The 26,561-nt window shown below is 41.4% G+C and overlaps 1 protein-coding gene across 7 annotated transcripts in view; it reads right to left on the bottom strand.

The window, feature by feature from the left end:
- The window catches only part of MCCC2 (methylcrotonyl-CoA carboxylase subunit 2), a 71,367-nt gene that overhangs the window by 24,369 nt on the left and 20,437 nt on the right, over window positions 1–26,561 (bottom strand). For 4 of the 7 annotated variants that reach the window (NM_022132.5, XM_017009688.2, XM_047417468.1 and 1 more), the window contains exons 7-8: window positions 7,585–7,698; window positions 2,153–2,217 (exon numbers count right to left, since the gene is read on the bottom strand). In NM_022132.5, the coding sequence (NP_071415.1) occupies window positions 2,153–2,217; window positions 7,585–7,698 (179 nt within the window). The remainder of the gene's footprint in view (window positions 1–2,152; window positions 2,218–7,584; window positions 7,699–26,561) is intronic. The other 3 variants (NM_001363147.1, XM_047417469.1, XM_047417470.1) reach the window with 1 other exon arrangement.

Below are 26,561 nucleotides of genomic sequence, written 5' to 3'. Positions count from 1 at the left end.
GTAAAACGGTTCTGTGGCAGGGGCCATGGAAGTTCCTGTTCAATTTCAAGTGCAGTGAATGAAGTACGGGCTTGCTCTGGTTATTAGTCCTGTCCCAATTAGATGGCCTGTTATTTCAATAGTAGATAAATGTAGATAAACTATGACTTTCTAATAAAGTATTTAAAACTCTGTAAAGTCAGTCAAAAATACATACCTGAAAAAAATAATTTGTTCATTTTATGAGTAAGGACTAAGCTGCTGCAATCTAAATTTTTATGGCTTGCCTGGGAAAACACCAAACTCCTTGGGAGACATATCTTAGAGCTAGGCTCTCAGTGATTTCATGACACTCTACTTTAGGACTGGGAGTTCCTGAGTAAAAGCAGAGACCACGTTTACTCTTTTTCATAGCCCACAGATGCCTCACAAATGGTAGATCTTTTTCAGTTTCTTTAATTTAATACAACATTTTATCATGTTATGACTGACCATATATTTTAAATGCTTCATACATAATACCAGTTATAAATGCTGACTTATAACTACACTGTCAGAAGTCAAATAGAAGCAGAAGGAACAGCTTCTAAATCAGTAAATATTTAAAATAAAATGCTTTTTTATGAAAACTGTCTAGTATTTACCAAAACAGCAGGAAAGGAAAACCTTCAATGATACACTGTATATATAAGTCTTTGTGTCAAATTAGCTCTTAAGGATGACTTAAGAGAGGTATAAAGATGCATTTGAGAGAACACAGAGCCACTTGTGACTAATAAATTTCATGGTACTTTCCAAAAAAAAAAATTCATCACCCCCAATCATTTCCTCACAATTTTAAACAGGTTATTATGAATAACAGTAATAGAGTTATTACTGTTATATGTAGTAGATGCTGTGTTATGAGGCAGGCACTATTCACAATTTTCACTTTATCTATGAGGAAATGAGACTCAGATAGGGTAAGCAGTTTGTCTAAGTCCCAAGGGGAATAGGGGAGGCAAACGGAAGTTAAATTCCAGAATCTACACCCTTAACATAATATATTGCCTACAGCTTTACTTTTTTTAAATAGTCAAACTGCTTAAAAATTTAGTCCAGGTGCAGTGGCTCACTCCTGTAATCCCAGCACTTCGGAAGGGCAAGGCAGGAGGACTGCTTGAGGCAAGGAGTTTTAAACCAACCTGAGCAATACAGTGAGACACCTGTTTCTACAAAAAATAAAAATATATATATATATATATATATATATATATATATATATATAAAACTGAAAAAAAAACCCTCCTCCTCAATTGTTTCCCAATTACTCCTAAAAAAAAAAAGTCTAAAACCTTTATTGAGCAACTATGATGACAAACAAGAAAATAATCATAATGGCAACCAACATTTATAGCTAACTTATCAAAAGCAGGTATAGTTTCATTCTAAAGCAATCCACATGTATTGTATCTCATTGACTTCTGACAACATTCTAGGAGGTAGAGGGTCTTCTTACCCCTGCACTCTAACCTAACATGGTCAGGCCAACAATGTGACGAAGCCAGCTCACAGCTAACTCACAAGAGCCAACTACGTGCATCTGTGTCTGATTCCACATAGAGGCATCATGTTGGCAGCCTGAAATCAGCCATGGTGGGATCACTCATACCACAGAAATTGGCAAATGCCACAGATCGGGGCATTTTTTCCTCCCCAGAGAACCAGTTACTAAACATTTAACTGTACACCCCAGGGCAGACCCACCTCCTCTATGCTCTTCCCTCTTCTCCTTTGTAAGCCTTATCGCGTATCAGCCACATTTACATAATTTTGTGCAATTACTTGCAATTGCCCACCTCCCTGACTAGAATATAAGGTCCTCGAAGTCAAAGATAGTATCTACCTCTTACCTCAGGCACCCAGAACAGTGCCTGCTACATAACAGGTGCCCAATGAATGTTTGTCAAATAAATAAGAAACCTGTCTCTCCAGTCCTTCTTGGCTGATGCTCTAGCTTGGAAATGCAACTCTACAGTTCAAAGAATTGAACATTAAACCAGCAGATCAAGAACAAATAAACTGTGGTGTGGTCTGGCAAGTTTAGCACTGGAAACAAATACGTAAAACTTCTTTTAAACAAACAAACAAAATGACACTCAATCCCGGAAAGAAACAACCATTTCTGTTTCACCTGCAATGAAGATCAGCACCTCCAAGATCCTCAGCAGATACTTCTTCCCCAGTTGCCGCTTTAACCTACAACAAGGATAAAAATCATCAGTGAAATCGGTCCATCAGACATATAAAAATGCTTCCCCAACATGCACAACTCCTCACCTGACTATACCTGTACTTTTTCTTCCATAGAACTAAAGAACACTGTGCTTTCTCATTCATGCACCTAGGAAACCTGGAGACTATTATCTTTACTCTTACAGGTGAAAAATCTAAGCCCAGAGTCACAAAGAACTTGCTTACAGTCCATAGCAAGCAATGGAGTCTCATTTGAGCCCACACGTTTCCAGCTTGAAAGACCTGGCCGGGCGCGGTGGCTCACGCCTGTAATCCCAGCACTTTGGGAGGCCGAGGCGGGTGGATCATGAGGTCAGGAGATCGAGACCATGCTGGCTAACAAGGTGAAACCCCGTCTCTACTAAAAATACAAAAAATTAGCTGGGCGCGGTGGCGGGCGCCTGTAGTCCCAGCTACTCGGGAGGCTGAGGCAGGAGAATGGCGTGAACCCGGGAAGCGGAGCTTGCAGTGAGCCGAGATTGCGCCACTGCAGTCCGGCCTGGGCGACAGAGCGAGACTCCGTCTCAAAAAAAAAAAAAAAAAAAAGAAGAAAGACCTGAAAGGCCATCCTCTTTCCCTATGTCATGCTGCCCTGACACATGTGGTCAAGACTTTGTGTCTGTGTGTGTGTTCCTCCCACTGCCTGGGATCTCTTCTTCTCACCTACCTGACGAATTCCCACTTACCCTTCAAGTCCCACCTCAAGTTGCCTCCTCTACACAGCTTTCCTGACCCGCCCAGGCCTTCTCCATGGTATTAATAGAGGACTGCCTGCCTATCCACGGTCCAAGGGCATTGCACTTACACCTCCAACACGGCATGTGTCAGAATGTAGTTCAGTAATGTGCATGTTATGTCTGTCATCTCCTCTATGCTGTGAATTCCTTGGTGGCAGGAACTGTGATTTATTCATCTTTGAATACTCAATAACATGCTGAAAAATTCCATTTACTATCACAAACTCTGCATAGGAAAGAGAGGTAGGAAAAAAATCTCCAAGATTACCTAAACCTAAGATCTAGCAGAATGTGGCCAAAAAGAAACAAACTCCAGTAATAAATTAAGAATAACTTAATTATAGCCAGAGAAATTCTACCAGGAAAAAGAAAGAAAAATAATTTAAGGCTAAATGCCAATCCAACCCCTTAGGAATTATTTATTGATTCCTATTTCTTTGAAGAAAAAGAAACAAATTAATCAACTCAAATAAGAAAAGCTTTTATTAGAATAATGAACATTAATCTAAAATATAGCACAGAGAGGTTGAAGGTAAAGAAAAAGTCTTTCTTGAGGGGAGCCCTGAAACAAAAAGAAAAAAGAAAAGAAAATACAGCATAGAAACAACTTATTACTCTCTACATCAAAAGCTTTGTCTTAAATATCCTTCTGCAGAGAGAGTTAGTTAAAATTTTCACCTCCAATTATTCCACCCCCAGAACTAAATTCTTGGTTCTTTTCCTTCCAAAACATTTAGTGTAAAATAACATTCAGTCCAGACAATAACAAATTATAAGAGGTGTCTGGATATTTAAAGTTGCAAAAAGGAATAAACAACAGATAAATTATATTTATTTTCAGGGATCTGACTAATATCAACCAAAAAAAAAAATAAGAATTTGTCATCAGTTAATATTTATTGAACACCCACAACGTTTGATAGTGTGATAGGTGCAAAGATGATAGAAGTCAAAGAGAAAATTAAAACAGCTCATTTGACTAAATGACAAGTTCAAAAGATAAACAAAAGACAGGAGAACAAAAAGCGCCTTCAAAAACTTGTCTTACTATCTGTTTTTTTCAACTACTCTAAGCTACTAAAAGCTACAGCACTACACCCCACACTACGTGCAAACCCTTCAAAGCCCTTTCTCAACATTCGGTCAAGCGTGCGTCAGAATTTAGAATTCTCTAAAGGATGAGGCTGCTGCTACTGCCTTTTTCTCCCTGTGAACATGGTCTTTCAAAGGTGGATTGCTGGATGGGGTCCAGTTCTCCAACAGAACTTCAGGCTTCCCTGGCTGCCAAGTGGCTTCTTTATAAGGTACAAGTTAACTGAATGGACATTGTAACTACTGACCCTTAGACAAAATCTTCTCTCTAAAACCCTTCGCATTATTCCACTATTATGATCTGCCTGTATTTCCAAAAAGATGTTTTCAAATTGTAGTCATATCTTTACTCATTTTCTAGTCAAAAAATAAACAAGAATGGCCCATGAAAGTTTGTACCTTTTACTATACAAAGGTAAATTTTGAGTGCATTTTCCTCTCATTAACAAATGACAGCTATCACATACAAGAGATAAATTAAAATAATAATAGTAATAATAATAATAATAATAATAATAATGGCTGCAGGCTTTTAAAATAATGCCTTAAGACTTTTACATTTGAAATGGCAGCCCTTCAGGCCTACCTGATCTTCAGTAAAAGTTATTAAAAATTAACACCCTCTTTTGGGAAATATACTTATTTTACATCAAAACATAAGCTCTATTTAACATATTCTTTCTAATGAATTTGTATTAGTATTCCATAACCAAAGATGATTCTTGGACAAATTTTTGAAGCAACAAACTTTTTGGAATAGAATTCACATACCATAAAATTCACTATTTTAAAGCATACAATTCAGTGGCTTTTAGTACATTCACAAAGTGCACAAAGTGTGCAACCATCACCACTACCCAATTCCAGAAAATTTCATCACTCCCAGAAGAAACCCCATCCTCATTAGCGGTCACTCCCATTCCACCCTCCTCCTAGTCCCTGGCAACAACTAATCTACTTTCTGCCTCCATGAATTTGCCTATTCTCAATATTTCATAGAAGTAAAATCATTTATTTGTCCTTTTCTGTTTCTTTCTTTCTTTTTTTTTTTTGAGATGGAGTCTCGCTCTGTTGCCCAGGCTGGAGTGCAGTAGCGCAATCTCAACCCACTGCAACCTCCGCCTCCCAGTAAAGCAATTCCCCTGCCTCAGCCTCCAGAGTAGCTGGGATTACAGGTGCACACCACCATGCCTGGCTAATTTCTGTATTTTCAGGAGACATGGGGTTTCACTATGTTGGCCAGGCTGGTCTCGAGTTCCTGATCTCAAGTGATCCACCCACCTTGGCCTCCCAAAGCGCTGGGATTACAGGCATTAGCCACTGTACCCAGTCTCAGGGTCAAAAAAATCAAAGGTCTTTCTTCTACCCTGTTTCCTCTCCTCTACATTTTAAGCAGTATTTTCGTATCTTTTCTAGAACTTCTTTATGCATATAGAAGTATACAAATGTATATTTCTCTCCATTTTACACAAAAGTTAATACACTGTAGGAATCTTGCTGCTTTCTCTTAACAGCTTATTAACTTGTTATTGACCTTGAGTCAAACAATTGTATAGCTGAGGTAAAAGAAAAAATAAGTAAAAGTTTTTTTCTGCCAAGACCATTCAATGGGGAAAGGAGAGTCCTTTCAACTAATGATGCTGGAACAACTGCATATCCACATATAGAGCAATGCTGGAGCCCTTCCTTATCCCACACCCAAAAACTAACTCAAAATGGATCACAGACCCAAATGCAAGAGCTAAAATTATAAGACTCTCAGAAGAAAACAGAGGAGTAAATCTTCATGACCTTGGGTTAGGCAAAGGCTTCTTGGATAAGACACCAAAAGCACAAGAAACCAAAGGAAAAAATGCATAAACTGGATGTGATCAAAATTTAAAACTTTTGTGCTTCAAAGGAAGACATCACTAAGAAAGTAAAAAAGACAACCTACAGAATGAGCAAAAATATTTGCAAATCTAATAAGGGACTTGTATTCAGAACACATATAGAATTCTTACAACTAAATAAAAAGACAAATAGCCCAATTTAAAAATGAGAAAGAATCTGAATAGACATGTCTCCAAAGAAGACATACAAATGGCCAACAGGCACATGAAAAGATGCCTTGGCCAGGTGCAGTGGCTCATGCCTGTAATCCCAGCACTTTGGGAGGCTGAGGCAGGCATACCACCTGAGGTCAGGAGTTCAAAACCAGCCTGGCCAACATGGTGAAACCCTGTCTCTACTAAAAATACAAAAATTAGCCGGGAGTGGTGGCGTGCACCTGTAATCCCAGCTACTTGGGAGGCTGAGGCAGGAGAATCACTTGAACCTGGGAGGTGGAGGTTGCAGTGAGCCAAGATCACACCACTGCACTCCAGCCTGGGCAACAGTGTGAGACTCTGCCTCAATAAAAAATAAAAATTAAAAAGTTAAAAAAAAAAAGCCTCAACATCACTAGTCACTAGGGAAATGCAAATCAAAACCAAAATGAGGTACTACCTCACACCCCCAAAGATGGCTGTCATCAGACAAACATACAATTACAAGTGTTGACAAGAATGTGGAACAATCAGAACCCTCACATGCTGCTGGTAGAAATGTAAAACATGTATTGGATAGATTAGAAGTTTTTCAAAATGCTAAACACAGCTACCACATGATCCAGCAATTCTACTCATAGGTACATATCCAACAGAAATAAAAACATTTCCATGCAAAAACCTATACATTCAAAGCGCCGTTATTCATAATACCCAAAAGCAGAAGCAACCTAAATGCCCATCAACTGATGAATGGATAGCTAGAACACAGCATAACCATACAATGGAATATTATTCAGCCATAAAAAGGAATGAAGTGATTCCTCAAAAAGTAAACATAGAATTCCATATGATCCAACAATTTCACTTCCAGGTATATACCCAAAAAAATAAAAGCAGGAACTTGAATAGAAATTTGTACACCCATGTTCATAGCAGCATTATTCATAATAGCCTGAGAGTGGAAGCAACCCAAATATCGATTGATGGATGAATGAATAAACAAAATACAGTGTATACATACAATGGAACATTATTTAGCCTTAACACTGAAGGGCACTCTGACATCTGCTACAATATAGAAGAACCATGAAGACGTTTTGCTAAGTGAAATACGTCTATCACAAAAGGACAGATATTATATGATTCCACTGACATGTGAGATACCTAGAATAGTCAAATTCATAAGGACAGAAAGTAGAATGGTGGTGCCGAGGTGGCAGAGGTGACGGAAATAGGGAGAATTTCAGTTGGGGAGGATGAAAATGTTCTCGAGATAGATGGTAGTGATGGTTGCACAACAATATGAACATACTAAACGTCACCAAGCTGTACTGAAAAACGGTTACAACAGTAAGTTTTATGTTATGCATATTTTATCACAATATTTTTTAAAACATCAAAAAATAGTTTAAATGGTGTATTTTATGTTCTGCATACTTAATTTCCATCGACCAACGTTCTTATGTTCTTACCAAGGGGGGTCCTGCCAAGAAAATGGTACCCTGCTTGCGTACAATGATGTTTTCATCAGCCATGGCAGGCACATAGGCTCCTCCTGCGGTGCAGGAGCCCATGACCACTGCGATCTGGAATCCAAGCACACGACAAACACATGAGATGCAGCTCATGCAGTGACTTCTATAGTGTTTGATCCAGAATCCCACAAACACTGCAGTGACCAGGGGATATTACTGGTTGGTCCCTGAACATCATTTTAAAAACAAAGTCCTCTAAATGTTTGAAATAGTTTTCTGACTTCTTGTATCAAAACATTTTGAAGGGCTTATGTCTCACTTTTACAAAACTTATGGACAATCTCCCTGTCAGAGAGAAGACTGGCCTGATAGACTACTGGCCTGAAAAACTAATGGAGAGAAGAAATCCACAATATACCTATAATTTTGCAAAACTGTATTAAAAGGATGACTTTTATGTCTAATAATAATAATAAGTCCTCTAAACATTTGCCAGTTACCTCACAGGAATACTAAAATAACTCTTCAAATGGATGTTATTAATATTTTGTGTTACGCTGGATGTAATACTTTCTAAATATAAAACTAATGTTAAGATTGCAGTTTAAAGCCTTCCTCAAAAGAAAAGTCGATTGTATTGAAGTTGGGTGATGTGTACATAGGGTTCACAGTACTATCTTCTCTAGTTTTGTGTGTTTAAAATTTTCCATAATAAAAAGCTTTAAAAAAATCTTGCTCAGAAATTAGGATGGTACAAAGAATAATAAATATAGGTTTGGCTGATGACTCCTAAATAGGATTGAACGATACCACCAAGGAAAAATAAAGTATATAATGAATATTTTTTAAATTATCATATGAAAGCAATTTTTGCTACTAATTCCAATATTCCATCAGTTTTCCTTATAGGCATGCAAACAGCATGTTCTGAAAAACAGCATGCCATACTGGTATAATCAAAAGATGAAAGGTAACATGAGTTAGCATTTTTCCATCTAAATGGCCAACACAAAAAGCATTCTTCCTCAACTAAAGCTTTCATGTATGTTATTGAAAGTGGCTTCAACATTTATTTGTCAACATATTACAGAAGTGATTATCACTTACAGTTTTGCTTATCAATCACCCAGAAGTTTGTGTTACAGATTATCTATGGCTACAAAAACTTGCCTATGAGCACAGGGAAACACTCACATAGCATTGTTACAATAGCAAAAATATGTAAATAACCAACATGTCCATCAATATATTTTGAACACATAAATAAACTTTTAAATGAGTACATTCTTTTCAAATCTGTGGCAAAGATAACAAAATGTCATGTTAACACTTAATACACCCAGGGAGTGAGCACACCAGCATTCAGTTCTATTATTCTGTATACTTTCTGCATGTTTGAAACATTTTATGGGCTTTCTTTTTCAAATTTCTGTGGGAAGCAAAGGACACAATTTTACCTTAGCATCCTGTTCTCTGTACCAGAACACTGAGTTCAGCTCAAACTATTTCAGTATCCAAAAAGAAATACAGTCAAGGAACTTACAGAAGAGTCACAGTGATGTCAAATCTAAAAAGGAACAGTTTTCAAAAATAATACCTAAAGAACTAAGCAGGCATGGCAGAGTCCCATGAAAACAACCAGAGAGCAAAAGGAGGAGAAAGCAACTGTCAGCAAGAATTCAAAGACCAAGATGAGGGAGGCAGGTCAGGGAGGAAACAGAGGAAGAGGAATTATTGTGTTGAAATGTAGTTAGACAGGCTGGGCACAGTGGCTCATGCCTGTAATCCCAGCACTTTGGGAGGTGGGGGTGGGTGTATCACTTGAGGCCAGGAGTTCAAGACCAGCCTAGCCAACATGGTGAAACCCAGTATTTACTAAAAAAACAAAAATTAATTGGGTGTGGTGCTGCATGCCTGTAAACCCAGCTACTCAGGAGGCTGAAGCAGGAGAATCACTTAACCTGGGAGGCGGAGGTTGCCCTGAGCCGAGATCACGCCACTGCACTCCAGCCTGGGCGACAAAGCAAGACTCCATCTCAAAAAAAAAAAAAAAAAAAGAAAGAAAGAAAGCAGGGGCTGGGTGTGGTAGCTCACGCCTGTAATCCCAGCACTTTGGGAGGCTGAGGTGGGCGGATCACCTGAGGTTGGGAGTTTGAGACCAGCCTGACCAACATGGAGAAACCCCGTCTCTACTAAAAATACAAGATTAGCCAGGCACGGTGGTGCATGCCTGTAATCGCAGCTACTCGGGAGGCTGAGGCAGGAGAATGGCTTGAACCCGGGAGGCACAGGTTGCGGTAAGCCGAGATCACACCATTGCACTCCACCTGGGCAACAAGAGCAAAACTCCGTCTCAAAAAAAAAGAAAAAGAAAAAGAAAGGAAGAAAGAAATGTAGTAAGACAAAGGTGAGAGAAATGAAACTAAATGCCATCATACCATCTACTACAGACTGAATGTTTGTGTCTCCTCCGAACTCATCTGCTGAAGCCCTGCTCCCCAGAGTGATGGTATGCGGAGGCAGAGGCCTTTGGGGAGTAATTTGGTGGGATGAAGTCATGAGGTAGGGCCCCCCCTCCCCATGGGATTAGTGCCCTTATAAGGAAGAGACAGGAGATCTCTTTGGTCACCATGTGAGAACATAGTCAAGAACAGGGCCCTGATCAAGAACCAGGCCATGCTCGTACCCTTATCTCTGGGGACTTCCAGCCTCCAGAGTTATGAGAAATAAATGTCTGTTTTTTAAGACACCCAGTAGTCTATGATAATTTGGTATAGCAGCTGGAAATGACTAAGACACCATTTGAGTAGGGGAAGAAGGATGGAAGAGAGATCTAGAAAAGTCTCACAAGGGAATAGCTGACAAATTATTAGCATATCTACTTCCGGGAATTTTACCATATGGCTAAGGGCACTTCCGACACATTTCTCCACAGTTCCTCAACAACCAAGGAAACCAGCAATCCACCTCTCTGACACTAGCTACACAAGCTCAGAAAAGGACAGGAGATTCTGGTAACCAGGCTTTTAAAATGGTCCCCCCAAACCCGTGACTTGGTATTCACATTCTGTGCAGTTCCTTCCTCTTGAATATGTGGTGGGTCCAGTGACTCACTTGTAATAAAGAGAATATGGCAAGTGATGGATTGTCACCTCTGTGGTCAGGCCATGAGAAACTGTCTACCATCCTGCTGGCCCTCTTGCTCTTGCTGGCCCTCTTTCTTTTCTTGTCTTCTCACTCTCTCACTTTGATGAAGTCACGTGACATGGTGTGAGCTGCTCTAGGAAGAGGCTGTATGGCAAGCAACTGAGGAAGGCCGCTGGCCAGCAGCTCGTAAGAAACAGGCCTCCAAAGCGCTGGACCCTGCCAACAGCCATGGGAGTGAGCCAGGAAGTGGGTCCTTCCTAGTCAAGCTCCGAGATGACTGCAGCCACGTGAGAGACCCAGAGCTACACTGCGCCCAGACTCCCAACGCACAGAAACTGCGAGATAATCAATGTGTCTTGTTTTACACTGCACAAGTTTTGGGACAATTTGTTCTGCTACAATAGGACAATTAATACAGAGATCAAAAAACATCTGTCTTAAGTGACTACAATTGAAGTGCATCTGAAGACTTGAGACAGACTTTGTTTGGAAGTACTTTTCTATTGTTGTTCTTCAAAGAACCTATCTAACCTGTTCAACTATTCCAGAGATGGCAGACAATATGTAGAACTTTTTTTTTCTTTTTTCATGAACAGTTTATGAAACGTACTGCAGAAATATGTACAACTTTCTGTGCCATCCCAGAGAGCGAAGGAAAACCAGGAGCAAGACATGGAAACCATGTTAGCCAGGATGGTCTCGATCTCCTGACCTCATGATCCGCCCGCCTCCGCCTCCCAAAGTGCTGGGATTACAGGCGTGAGCCACCGCGTCTGCCTTGAAATGCATTTTTAAAACAAGCCAAGCAGGGTAGCACATGCCTGTAATCCCAGCTACTCAGGAGGCTAAGGCAGGAAGACTGCTTGAAGCCAGGAGTTCAAGACCAGGAAACCATTATGTTAAGTGAAAGAAGCCAGTCACAAAAGACTACTTATCATATGATTCCCTTTACATGAAATGTCCAGAACAAGCAAATCTATAGACAGAAAGTAGCTTAGTGGTGGCCTAGGGCTGCAGGGGACTGGGTAGAAATGGGGAGTGACTGCTATTGGGGGAATGAAAATATTCTAAAATTGATTCATTCAACTCTGTGAATATCCTAAAAGCCATTGAATTGTACACATCAAATGGGTAAGTTATATGATATTTGAATTATATCTCAACGAAGCTGTAAAAAAATTTTTTTAATGAGTCAAAAAAATAAGTACAAAGGAGTCAAAATTCTCAAACAAGTATCTAACAGGCAAAATCTTGTTTTTATTTTTAATTTTTGGGGGTACATAGTAGGTCTATATATTTATGGGGTACCTGAGTTTTGTTTTGTTTTTTTTTTAGTAGAGATGGCGTTTTGCCATGTTGCATTCATCTGTGGTACAACAAAGACGTTACATGAGCCTACACTGGACAAAGCTCACTGGACAAGTGATCTGAAACCCTAGAAAGAAAATTCTATGGCATTCTCCACTAAGAGGACACTGAAAGGATGTAAGATGAATGACCAGAAACTTGGCCCAGGCAGGTCCTGAACTCCTGTGCTCAAGCGATCCTCCCACCTTGACCTCCCAAAGTGCTGGGATTACAGGCATGAGGCACCACACCCAGCGAGAGATGTTTTGATACAGGCATGCAATGTGAGATAAGCACATCATGAAGAATGGGTATCTATCCCCTCAAGCATTTATCCATTGAGTTGTAAACAATCCAATTACATACTTTAAGTTACTTTAAATGTGCAGTTGTTATTATTATTGACTACAGTCATCCAGTTGTGCTATCAGATAATAGGTCTTACTCATTCTTTCTTTTTTTTTTTGTATCCATTAACCATCCTCACATTCCCCCAACCTCTACTCCCATTCCCAGCCTCTGGTAATCAACAGGCAAAATCTTAATATTGCTAAAAGCAAATTCTGATGACAGAAATAAAAATTAAATTAAAAAACAGAGATAAAAGAGCTCACTAATTAATGATTAGTCACTGTCACTCAATGTCATACAATCTCTTCTCTCTTTTTGTTTTGAGACTCTGTTGCCCAGGCTAGAGTGCAGTGGCACAAACACAGCTCACTGCAGCCTTGACTTCCCGGGCTCAAGAGATCCTCCCACCTCAGCCTTCTGAGTAGCTGCGACTACAGGTGCACCACCACGCCCAACTAATAATCCTTGTCATTTAGTTCTGAGTCATTCACTTACTCCCAAAAGGTGACAAAGTGAATGGAACAAGAGTTCTGCCACTGTGTCTGCTTTCTTTTTTATTTTTATTTTTTTTAGATGAGGCCTCCCAATATTGCCCAGGTAGCACTCCTGGCTCAAGCAATCCTCCTACCTCTCAGCATCCTAAGAAGCTGAGAGTACAGGCATGAGCCACCGTGCCCAGCTGTATCTGCTTCTTCCTGTATCTGCTTCTTTCTCTCACAAAGCACAGGGATCCCAGGGCCAAACAGCATTAACAACTTGCCATGTCCCAAAGCATTCACTGGTGGTACCACAAAGACGTTACCTAAGGACACTGAAAAGACATAAGATGCATGACCAGAAACTTTTCTGACCAGACTCAGAGGCAGAGATTTGGCTTGTGATGTGGCACAACATAGGCATTGTACCAGGACAGACATCACAGGGACCTGCATCTGCATCAGGACAGAGGTGAACTCCAAAGAACTCCACTGAGAGACTACCGTCCACCCAGTCACCAGTGAGATGGGCCTGCTCTGTGACAGGAACAAACAGAGATCACTCTTGCAAGGTGAGGTGATTCTAAGACTTGAATCAAGAGTAAGAACGTGCAAGAAGGATGAGGATGAGACATACCTGACAGTAACAATACTTGTCATCCCCTCCACAGAAGGCACAGGCAACATTTCCAAGCAAAAGCAAATGAGATGCTACAAAACAGAGGTAATCATCCAGAAAAGCTTTAGATTGAATTTCATTACCCTCTAGGTCTTGCCTAAACAAATAGAGACTGGGTCTCCTTGCACCAAAAGCAAATTACATATTGTAGGTCAACAGCCTGCCCCATGGAAAGGGTCTCTGACAGAGAGCTAAGAGATTTTTTATCTAATTCTGAAAAGCTAGGTGAACTCTAGACCTCAGTTCCTCCCTGCAAAATTGTAGAATACTATCCAATTCATAGAAATGCTGTGATAAATGTAATATAACTTGGAGGGAGAAAAAAGGTCCAACTGCTTGATAGAAAAGCCATTAAAAATATAATAATTTTTTAAATCTGTCACCTTACTTCTTTTTCAATTCAAAGTAGAAAGCAGATATTACTGCCCACATCCCATTTTTCCTGCCCCTACCTGAAGAGCCACCATTAAAAAATAAAAGCCACAAAATATACATCTCAATTCAATAGCTGTCAAGAATTTAAGAACGTTATCAACTATACTGACTGATCAATACCACTGATTTGATAGTAGTCATGCTTACCTATGCCAACTGGATAGATTGAAATGCACAAAGAATCCAAAAAGTCAGTCTTATCCAGTATGTTCTGTTTCCTCCTCAATCTTTTTGTCAGAGAGCCTCAAAGAAATCAAACAGTGATTTTGTTTCTCCTAGGCCCTATCCATCTCCATCACAGGTTGAAATTCATTTTTTTTTTTTTGAGACAGAGTCTCACTCTGTCGCCCAGGCTGGAGTGCAGTGGCGTGATCTTGGCTCACTGCGACCTCCACCTCCCGGGTCCAAGCGATTCTACTGCCTCAGCCTCCCGAGTAGCTGGGACTACAGGCACCCACCACCATGCCCGGCTAATTTTTTGTATTTTTAGTAGAGACGGGATTTCACCATGTTAGCCAGGATGGTCTCGATCTCCTGACCTCGTGATCTGCCCACCTCAGCCTCTGAGATTACAGGTGTGAGCCACCGTGCCTGCTTTGAAATGCATTTTTAAAACAAGCCAAGCAGGGTAGCACACGCCTGTAATCCCAGCTACTCAGGAGGCTGAGGCAAGAGGATTGCTTGAACCCAGGAGTTCAAGACCAGCCTGGGCAACATAAAGAGACCTGTCCCGAAAAATAAATAAACAAATAAAACAACGAGAGGCCACATTGGCTCATGCCTGTAATCCCAGCACTTTGGGAGGCCAAGGCAGAAAGATTCCCTGAGCCCAGAAGTATGAGACCAGCCTGGGCAACATAGTGAGATTCCATCTCTACAAAAATAAAAATAAAAATTAGCCAGGCAAGGTGGTGTGCACCTGAAGTCCCAACCACTTGGGAGGCTGAGGCAGGTGGATCACTTGAACCTGAGAGGTCAAGGCTGCAGTGAGCTGTGATTGTGCCACTGCACTCAAGCCTGGGCAACAGAGTGAGACCCTGTCTTTAAAAAAAAGAAAAAAAGAAAAAGGATGCAGTACCTATCCTAACTAAGCTCCTCAAAACAATTACCAAGGTCAAAACAGTGAAAACCAACAAGATACATTTCAAAAATAATAAGCTAAGGCAAGCGGGGAGGAGGAGGGAGGTAAGGTAGGGGGGAGAAAGGGAAACCTGAGAATAATTTTAAATATGTCTCCAAAAAGAAGTGAAAATAGGCAGAATACAACACAAAGGAAAAGAGAAAGGCCTGAGGAACTGCAACTAAGCATGGCTAGATGAATGATGCCTATTTCAGAAGAAACAAACTGTTCATTCAAACAAAAACCTTGTTGCTTATACTAAAACAAGAAAGAGAACCAATGCACCAGAGCAAAGATCAATCTACAGCAAACTAGACTATCACTCAATTATAAAAATCAAAAGTAATGTGAGACCTAAAGAAAACACACATGAAGATCCCACTTCTGAGGAGGATTCTAAGTCTCACACTTAAAAAGCCAGACATGGAAACCATAATTGGTGTCTTAGACTGTTTGCTGCTGCTATAACAGAATACCCAAGACTGAGTAATTTATAAAGAAAAGAAATTTGGCCTGGCATAGTGGCTCATGCTTATAATCCCAATGCTTTGGGAAGCTGAGGTGGGAGGATAACTTAAGCCAGGAGTTCAAGACCAGCCTGAGCAGCAAGACTTCACCTCTACAAAAAGAAAGAGAAAGAAAGAAAGGAAGGAAGGAAGGAAGGAAGGAAGGAAGGAAGGAAGGAAGGAAGGAAGGAAGGAAGGAAGAAGGAAAGAAGGAAAGAAAGAAAGAATTTAAAAAAGAAATTTACTTTTCACGGTTCTGGAAGCTGGGAAATCCAAGAGCATGGCACTGGCATCTGACAGTCATCCCATGGTGGAACAGCAGAAGGTGGGAGGGCAAGAGAGGGCAAGTGTGTGTGAGACAGAGAGCAAACGAAGGCCAAACTCCCACAATGATAGCATTAATCCATCCATGAGGGCAGAGCTCTCATGACCTAATTACCTCCCAAAGGTGCCACCATTTAACATCACCACAATGGCAATCACATTTCCAACACATAAACTTTTGGGGGACACATTTAAACTGCACCACTGGGAAAATAAAAGAAGAACATTGCAAAGATCATCATGTCATCAGGCCTCAGATATGGAGAAGGCCCAGAGAAGGCATTCTCATGACATGAGACTCAAAGAAAGACCACCAGACACCCACACATCAACTCTTTAAACTCCAGAAACGATTAAGGGGTCTTAAAATCTGCCATGAAGGAAAGATGAAACAGAAGAGAACATAAAAGTAAGTACCTAGTTTAACTATCTTTTCTCCTTGAGAGCAAAAGAAAATGTTGAAACCTGGAAGGTCTATAGTAATCTGTCCACATTTTTATAGCAGCAAAGATACAGAAAACGATACGGGTATGATTGCCAATAGACATACTCTTTGAAATAACTAGGTAAATGAATTTACAATGGGCAAGGCTAGTAACATTAAATAAAAACCAACCTTGGAGAGAAAAACAACTAAATTTGAGTAAGGAAGCTGGTGCTTACTATCGAAATAAATACATAACATAATTGAAGTTAGAAGTGATTAACTTATATAATAAACATAAGGAATTGTTTTATCAGTCTGTCTAAACCAAAGTCTTAAATAAACAACAAAACAAACATTAAACTTAGGAAACAGAACCACTCAATATCTATCATATTACAACTTTAATAGTTATAAGGAGATTTATCTTTTAATAAATATTAAGTAAGTACCATCTCAGGGAAATGTGTGAGGATATAAAAATTCATCTAAATTGTCCCTATTCTCAAGTAGCTAACAGACTAGTAGAGGAAATTAGTCCAGATATATCTAGATTAAAGGGATAAATGCTATTAGTAAGGCACAGTACAAGAACTATGGGAGCTAGGAGGAAGAAAATATTACTTCCAGTAAAGGATTCCGGGATTTCCTTAAAAGGGTGGCATTTGAGATGTGTCTTGGAAGATGGGTTGGAGACTCCGACCCAGGAGGATGAGGGGAAAGAGGACCAGCATGGGCCTGAGCAGATGGTCAAAAAAGGCTATGGTATATATGGAGACCAGTGACTGCATCAGGTTGACTGCAGTTTAGGGTCCAGGAGCAATAAGGCTAGAAAGTTAGGTTGAAATCCGATCACACGGGGGCTTAAGTATCGGGCTAAGAAGTATGAGCTTTGTTTTGTAGCAAATAGTAACAGGAGGGCCACATAAAGAATAACCTTGCAGCATGTGTCCACTGTATGGGAAAGGATAGACTAGGCAGACAGGGACACCAGGCAGGTGAGGCTAGAGCCACAGTCTAGTGGTAACAAAGGCCTGAGCTGCCTCTGGGGGTGATAGTAGGAACAGAGTGGAGAGGAACTGCCCAAGGGTGAAACCAACAGGACTCATCAATATATTAGGCAAAGGCTTAGGATGTGTTCACTTTGTGCCCGGCATCAGAGCAACTGCCAGGGATACAAAAATGTCAAAGATGTATATTTTTGACCTAAAAGGATTAAGTAAGGGAAAATGCAGAGAAAAGAGCCAAGGATGACATCAAGTCCTAGGGAAAGAGCAAGGTAGTGCTAGCAGTAGATGGGAACTCAGGTGAGGGAACAAATGAGTAGGGGAAGTTAATGTGTTCAATGTCTAGTTTGAACCTAAGTCTGAAAAGACAGAGGAAAAAGTGTTTTTCCTACTGTCTGACACAGTCACTCAATACCTCTGACACCAGATATGTGGGGGTATTTCTCCACACACCAAGCAGTTCTCCAGCAGACACCAGCTGTCCTCTAATCCAATTCAGTTCTTACAGTCTACCTAGAGACAGCATCAGATCCCACAGACTAAGGGCTCAGTCCTACAAGATGGCCCTCACTTCAGATGCCAATCCACAAGGAGCAGGTTGTCACCTATATTTCTGATTGACTGTAAATCAGGGCTGCCACTACCCATCCTTGGGTTTGACTAATTTACAAGAGTGGCCCACAGAACTCAGGGAAACACTTTACTTACATTTACTGGTTAGGAAGGATATCATAAAGGATACAGATGAACAGCCAGATGAAAAGATACATAAGGCGAGTCTGCAAAGGTCCTGAGGGCTGGAGCTTCTGTCCCCGCGGAGTGGGAATGCACCACCTTCCTAGCACTTGGATGAGTTTGCCAGCACAGATGCTCTCTGAACACCATTTAGGGATTTTTATGGAGGCTTCATCACAGAGGCATGGTCAATTATTAACTCAATCCCCAGCCCCTCTCCCTCCCTGAAGGATAGGGCTGGGACTGAAAGCTCCAAGTTTATGGTCATGGCTTGGTCTTTCTGGTGACCAGCACCATCCAGGAGCCCACTAAGAGTCGCCTCATCAGAATAAAAGATGCTCCTATCACCCAGGAAATTCCAAGGGATTTTGGAGCTCTGTGACAAGAATGGGGGTCAAAGACCAAATCATAGAACAAAAGATTCTTCTAGTACCCCTATCTACAAGGGTATTAGGAACTCTGTCGGAGGAACTGGGGCAGACACCAAATATTGGAACAAAAGAGCCTCCTAGTGCCCCTACTGCTCAGAAACTTATGAGGATTTTAGGAGCTCTGTTCCTGGAACTGGGGACAGAGATCAATGTGTATATTTCTTATTATTTCATACTAAGGTACCAGCAGGAAATTGACTGAGAAAGCAGAACCCCCGAGGTTCAAAAGTAGAGATGTAGAGGTGGTCAAGACTAGATAAAGATCAGGGAGATGACAGGTAATGAGATCTGGCTAAATCGTTAAAATAAATAAATAAATAAGGGCACCCCAGTGGCATGAAGCATAAGGAGAATTTCACGAAAAGGAAAAAAATGATGATACCAAGAGGCTGTGCAGAGTGGGAATCTGGTCTCTAGGCTGGTGAAACTCTCGTAGGGCATGGAGGTTTGAAGGAGTGAGCAGTTAGAATGAAGACAATGTGCCAATCCTTAAGAATGTTGGCTGGGCGCGGTGGCTCACGCCTATAATCCTAGCACTCTGGGAGGTCGAGGTGGGTGGGTCACCTTAGGTCAGGAGTTCAAGGCCAGCCTGGCCAACATATGGAAACCTCATCTCTATTAAAAATACAAAAAAGTTAGTCAGGCATGGTGGTGCATGCCTGTAGTCCCTGCTACTAGGGAGGCTGAGGCAGGAGAATTGCTTGAACCCAGGAGGTGGAGGTTGCAGTGAGCCGAGATCGTGCCACTGCACTCCAACCTGGATGACACAGTGAGACTCCATCTCAAAGGGGGAAAAAAATGTAGCCACCCAGGTAGGGAGAAAAGCTTCAAAAACAGCAGAAGCTAGAAAAGGTCTTTATCTTTTGGCATCATTTTAGTGTTCTTTTTTTGTTTCCTTTAAAGAAAAGGTATCAACGTGATTTTGGGGTGTGAGAAGAAAAATAAGCAGATAAAAAATTTTTTCATTTTTAAAAGATGGGGTCTGGGCTGGGCACAGTGGCTCATACCTGTAATCCCAGCACTTTGGGAGACCAATGCGGGCAGATCACTTGACCTCAGGAGTTCGAGACCAGCCTGGGCAACATAGTAAAACCCCGTCTCTACTAAAAATACAAAAATTAGCTGGGCATGATGGCATGTGCCTATAGTCCCAGCTACTCGGGAGGCTGAGGCAGAAGAATCCCTTGAGCCTGGAAGGCGGAGGTTGCAGTAAGCCAATATTGCACGCCACTGCACTCCAGCCTGGGGACAAGAGCAGGACTCCATCTCAAAAAAAAAAAAAAAGAGAGAGAGAGAGATGGGGTCTCACTATGCTGGCCACGTTAGATCTTAAACTCCTGGCCTCAAGCAATCTCCCACCTTAGCCTCCCAAAGTGCTAGGATTAGAGGTGTGGACCACCGTGCCTTGCCCAAGAAAATTAATTAGAGTAAGAGAAAGGGAATAAATGATGAAGCAAAAAGGAGAGGTTAGTATTAAAATCATAAATGACGGGTTTAGGTTTTGAGAAGAGGAGAAACATAGCCTGACATCTTCAGTGCAGATATCAGGTTTAGGCTCATATATTCAGGAAAGGCTCAGAACAGATACTATGGAAACTTAAAAATACGGTTCATTAAAATATGAGAAGGCAAACCTTAACCCTAAACCTCCTTTCCTATTTAAGGGAAATAGAAAAAAATAAAGGCTAAGAGAAGTAGCTCAAAGAAATACTGATATATGTGTGTGTGTGTGTGTGTGTATTATATACGTTATACATAATATGAACCATATATATATAATATGAACTATATAATATGAATTAGATATATAATATGAACCTCTTGGAATTTAAAAAGAAATTTCTGTTATCATATATTGAGTCTCCATAGTATCTTTTCTGACCCCTTCCTGAATATATGAGCCCTAAACCTGAAATCTGCACTGAAGATGTCCGGCTATGTGTGAGCACTTTTCTTCATACTGAAAACACTAGTACTTACTCCACCTTCCTTCTCTGATATATTATATATTATAAATATATGTATATTTTCTTGAGACAGTGTCTCATTCTGTCACTCAGGCTGAAGTGCAGTGGTACAATCATGGCTCACTGAAGCTTCAACCTCCTGGGCTCAAGTAATCCTTCTGCTTCAGCCTCCCAAACAGCTAGGACCACAGGTGTGTGCCCAGGCTGGTCTCACCTGGGCTCAGGCAATCCTCCTGCCTTGGCCTCTCAAAGTACTGGGATTACAGGCATGAGCCACCACGCCCAGCCCTAATATTTTTTAAAAAACAAAAATAAAATAAGTAAAAGGAAGACAGTCATTCAGTCAAATGCCCTTCAGACATTTTGAGTTTTTTATCATAAGCAGGTATTGCTTATTCCAAGAAGTAAGTACACTTTTGATTTTTAAAAGATCTGATTTTAAAGCACTTTAAACTTCAAAGTTCCACAGGAATAGAGACTCCACCTGGCAGCAGAAAGACACAGCAAAGAACATGTTAGATGATAGAGGGCTATAGTGCTTAAATAGTAGCCTCCCCCAACAAAAGATAAAAAGATATAGCCATATCCTAATCACCAGAATCTGTAAAGATGGTCTCATTTGAAAAAGGAATCTTTGCAGATATAATTAAGAATCTTGTGGATTACCTGGGTGGTCCCTAAATCCAGTGACAAGTGTTCTTATAAGATAGAGAAGGAGAAGACCCAGATACCCAGAGAAGGTCACGTGAAGATGGAGGCAGACATGGGAGGGAGGTAGCCATAAGCCAGGGGAATACCTGGAGCCACCAGGAGCTGGAAGAGGCTAGGAAAGGAACAGAATGTCCCCTGGAAGCACAGCCCCGCTGCTGCCTTGACTGCAGAGTTATGGCTTCCAGAACTTCACAGAATAAATTTCTGTTAGCCAAGCATTGTGGCTCACACCTATAATCCCAGCTACCCACAAGGCAAAGGTAGGAGGATGATCTGAGGCCAGGAGTTCAAGACCAGCTGGAGCAACATACCAAGACATTCATCTCTAAATAAATACATAAATTGCTGTTGCTTTAAGCCACTCAATTTGTGATAATTTGTTACAACAGCCCTAGGAAACTAATAAAAGGTAAGCTATAAAAATTGTAACACCAGGCCCAGCATGTTGGCTCAGGCCTGTAATCCCAGCACATTGGGAGGCTAAGGCAGAAGGATCCTTGAGGCCAAGAATTTGAGACCAGCCTGGCCAACATAGCAAGATCCTGTTTCTCTAAAAGAAAAAAATATAATACCAGATTAAATGGAGACCACAATACGAATTTCATATAGATAATGCAACGGCCATCTGTGCAAAAGTAAGCAAAGCCGAAGTTTCTATTTAGATAAATAAAGCATATAGGTAGGCATGGTCACTGTGTAACAGTAAAATATACCATAAACAATTACAACCAACTATGTTGATAGAAAAATCAAAAAGATATATAATAATTGCAAGTATAGATTAATCAGAATATTAATAAAAATATGACAAACTTAAATCCAATAAAGAAATGAAAACACAATAGCAGCATCTGTATTATAAATATTCCAACCATGCAAAAAAAATTACAGAATAACAAACATCCATTAGCCTAATACCTAATCTTAATAAACCTTGACATTAAGCAAAATTTACTTCAGATCATTTTTTTAAGGAATAAAGTATTTGACCAGGCGCGGTGGCTCATGCCTGTTATCCCAGCACTTTGGGAGGCCGAGGCGGGCGGATCACGAGGTCGGCAGATCACGAGGTCAGGAGATCGAGACCATCCTGGCTAATGTGGTGAAACCCTGTCTCTACTAAAAATACAAAAAATTAGCCGGGCATGGTGGTGGGCGCCTGTAGTCCCAGCTACTCAGGAGGCTGAGGCAGGAGAATAGCGTGAACCCGGGAGGCAAAGTTTGCAGTGAGCCGAGGTAGCACCACTGCACTCCAGCCTGGGCAACAGAGCAAGACTCCATCTCAAAAAAAAAAAAAGAAAAAAAAAGGAATAAAGTATTTGAGATATAGTTGAAGCGCCTATCTACCTCCTACCTCATCCCTGTCTCTTCCTTCCCACCTCAGAGGCAACCACTGTTCTAAAGCTGAGTGTATCGCTCCCACGTGCATGTTTATACACAAATAATATACAGTAGGATTCGATGTATTTAACCTTTACATACATAGTAAATAGCCATATATTGATTCTACTATGTTTTTTACTCAATCTACTTTTTGAGACTTATATTGACAGATGCAATTTTAGTTCATTCCTTTTAACAGACAAAAACTGTATTATTAATCTCCCATGAATGAACAGTTAGGTTATTCTCTAACTTTTGCTCTAACAAACAATGCTATAATGAACTTTTCTTTTCTTTTTCTTTTGTGAGACAGGGTCTCATTCTGTTTCTCAGGCTGGAGTGCAGTGGTGCAACCACAGCTCGCTGTAGCCTCAAACTCCAAGGCTCAAGTGATCCTCCTACCTCAGCCTCCTGAAAGCTGGAACCATAGGCATGTGCCACACCACACTCGGCTAATTTTTTATTTTTTTGTAGAGACAGGGTCTCCCTATGTTGCCCAGGCTGGTCTCTCACTCCTGGACTCAAGTGATCCTCTCACTTCAGCCTCCCAAAGTGCTGGGATTTCAGGCACAAGTCACAGTGCCTGGCCATGAATTATTCTTCTAAGTATCTCTTCATACATATATCAGAGTTTCCCTAGGGTATAGCCCTAAAAAAGGAATTACTGGAGCCCTTTCTTTTTAAACCCTGTTTTCCTTTTAAAAACCTGTTCTTTGTTTGTTTGAGACGGAGTCTCACTTCGTCGCCAGGCTGGAGTGCAGTGGCATGATCTCAGCTCACTGCAACCTCTGCCTCCCAGGTTCAAGCATTTCTCCTGCCTCAGTCTCCCAAGTTGCTGGGACTACAGGCATGTGCCACCACGCCCAGCTAATTTTTTGTATTTTTAATAGAGACGGGGTTTCACCGCGTTAGCCAGGATAGTCTCGATCTCCTGACCTCGTGATCCCCCCACCTCGGCCTCCCAAAGTGCTGGGATTCCAGGCGTGAGCCACCGCGCCTGGCCTAAAACCTGTTTTAATAATCTTATTACAGTATAGGAGTATTCCTATAGTTAATAAAAAGCTCTAATTGGAGACAACCTTTAGATACTCTCTGTGGAAAAAGATTAGATTTTGGGGAGGAGCCAAGATGGCCGAATAGGAACAGCTCCGGTCTACAGCTCTCAGCGTGAGCGACGCAGAAGACGGGTGATTTCTGCATTTCCATCTGAGGTACTGGGTTCATCTCACTAAGGAGTGCCAGACAGTGGGCGCAGGTCAGTGGGTGCGCGCACCGTGTGCGAGCCGAAGCAGGGCGAGGCATTGCCTCACTTGGGAAGCGCAAGGGGTCAGGGAGTTCCCTTTCCGAGTCAAAGAAAGGGGTGACGGACGCACCTGGAAAATCGGGTCACTCCCACCCGAATATTGCGCTTTTCGGACCAGCTTAAAAAACGGCGCACCAGGAGATTATATCCCGCACCTGGCTCGGAGGGTCCTACGCCCACGGAGTCTCGCTGATTGCTAGCACAGCAGTCTGAGATCAAACTGCAAGGCGGCAGCGAGGCTGGGGGAGGGGCGCTCGCCATTGCCCAGGCTTGCTTAAGGTAAACAAAGCAGCCAGGAAGCTCGAACTGGGTGGAGCCCACCACAGCTCAAGGAGGCCTGCCTGCCTCTGTAGGCTCCCCTCTGGGGGCAGGGCACAGACAAACAAAAAGACAGCAGTAACCTCTGCAGACTTAAATGTCCCTGTCTGACAGCTTTGAAGAGAGCAGTGGTTCTCCCAGCACACAGCTGGAGATCTGAGAACGGGCAGACTGCCTCCTCAAGTGGGTCCCTGACCCCTGACCCCCGAGCAGCCTAACTGGGAGGCACCCCCCAGCAGGGGCACACTGACATCTCACACGGCAGGGTATTCCAACAGACCTGCAGCTGAGGGTCCTGTCTGTTAGAAGGAAAACTAACAAACAGAAAGGACATCCACACCAAAAACCCATCTGTACATCACTATCATCAAAGACCAAAAGTAGATAAAACCACAAAGATGGGGAAAAAACAGAACAGAAAAACTGGAAACTCTAAAACGCAGAGCACCTCTCCTCCTCCAAAGGAACGCAGTTCCTCACCAGCAACGGAACAAAGCTGGATGGGGAATGACTTTGATGAGCTGAGAGAAGAAGGCTTCAGACGATCAAATTACTCTGAGCTACGGGAGGACATTCAAACTAAAGGCAAAGAAGTTGAAAACTTTGAAAAAAATTTAGAAGAATGTATAACTAGAATAACCAATACAGAGAAGTGCTTAAAGGAGCTGATGGAGCTGAAAACCAAGGCTCGAGAACTACGTGAAGAATGCAGAAGCCTCAGGAGCTGAAGCGATCAACTGTAAGAAAGGGTATCAGCAATGGAAGATGAAATGAATGAAATGAAGCGAGAAGGGAAGTTTAGAGAAAAAAGAATAAAAAGAAATGAGCAAAGCCTCCAAGAAATATGGGACTATGTGAAAAGACCAAATCTACGTCTGATTGGTGTACCTGAAAGTGATGGGGAGAATGGAACCAAGTTGGAAAACACTCTGCAGGATATTATCCAGGAGAACTTCCACAATCTAGCAAGGCAGGCCAACGTTCAGATTCAGGAAATACACAGAACACCACAAAGATACTCCTCGAGAAGAGCAACTCCAAGACACATAATTGTCAGATTCACCAAAGTTGAAATGAAGGAAAAAATGTTAAGGGCAGCCAGAGAGAAAGGTCGGGTTACCCTCAAAGGGAAGCCCATCAGACTAACAGCGGATCTCTCGGCAGAAACCTACAAGCCAGAAGAGACTAGGGGCCAATATTCAACATTCTTAAAGAAAAGAATTTGCAACCCAGAATTTCATATCCAGCCAAACTAAGCTTCATAAGTGAAGGAGAAATAAAATCCTTTACAGACAAGCAAATGCTGAGAGATTCTGTCACCACCAGGCCTGCCCTAAAAAAGGAAGCGCTAAACATGGAAAGGAACAACCGGTACCAGCCACTGCAAAAATCAAGCCAAAATGTAAAGACCTTCAAGACTAGGAAGAAACTGCATCAACTAGCAAGCAAAATCACCAGCTAACATCATAATGACAGGATCAAATTCACACATAACAATATTAACTTTAAATGTAAATGGACTAAATGCTCCAATTAAAAGACACAGACTGGCAAACTGGATAAAGAGTCAAGACCCATCAGTGTGCTGTATTCAGGAAACCCATCTCACGTGCAGAGACACACATAGGCTCAAAATAAAAGGATGGAGGAAGATCTACCAAGCAAATGGAAAACAAAAAAAGGCAGGGGTTGCAATCCTAGTCTCTGATAAAACAGACTTTAAACCAACAAAGATCAAAAGAGACAAAGAAGGCCATTACATAATGGTAAAGGGATCAATTCAACAAGAAGAGCTAACTATCCTAAATATATATGCACCCAATACAGGAGCACCCAGAGTCATAAAGCAAGTCCTGAGTGACCTACAAAGAGACTTAGACTCCCACACATTAATAATGGGAGACTTTAACACCCCACTGTCAACATTAGACAGATCAACGAGACAGAAAGTCAACAAGGATACCCAGGAATTGAACTCAGCTCTGCACCAAGCGGACCTAATAGACATCTACAGAACTCTCCACCCCAAATCAACAGAATATACATTTTTTTCAGCACCACACCACACCTATTCCAAAATTGACCACATACTTGGAAGTAAAGCTCTCCTCAGCAAATGTAAAAGAACAGAGATTATAATAAACTATCTCTCAGACCACAGTGCAATCAAACTAGAACTCAGGATTAAGAATCTCACTCAAAACTGCTCAACTACATGGAAACTGAACAACCTGCTCCTGAATGACCACTGGGTACATAACGAAATGAAGGCAGAAATAAAGATGTTCTTTGAAACCAACAAGAACAAAG

Source organism: Homo sapiens, chromosome 5, assembly GCF_000001405.40.
Source record: "Homo sapiens chromosome 5, GRCh38.p14 Primary Assembly".
Lineage (NCBI taxonomy): Eukaryota > Metazoa > Chordata > Mammalia > Primates > Hominidae > Homo > Homo sapiens.
The sequence above is the reverse complement of the archived record's forward strand: the minus strand, read 5'-3'. Positions and strand labels throughout refer to the sequence as shown.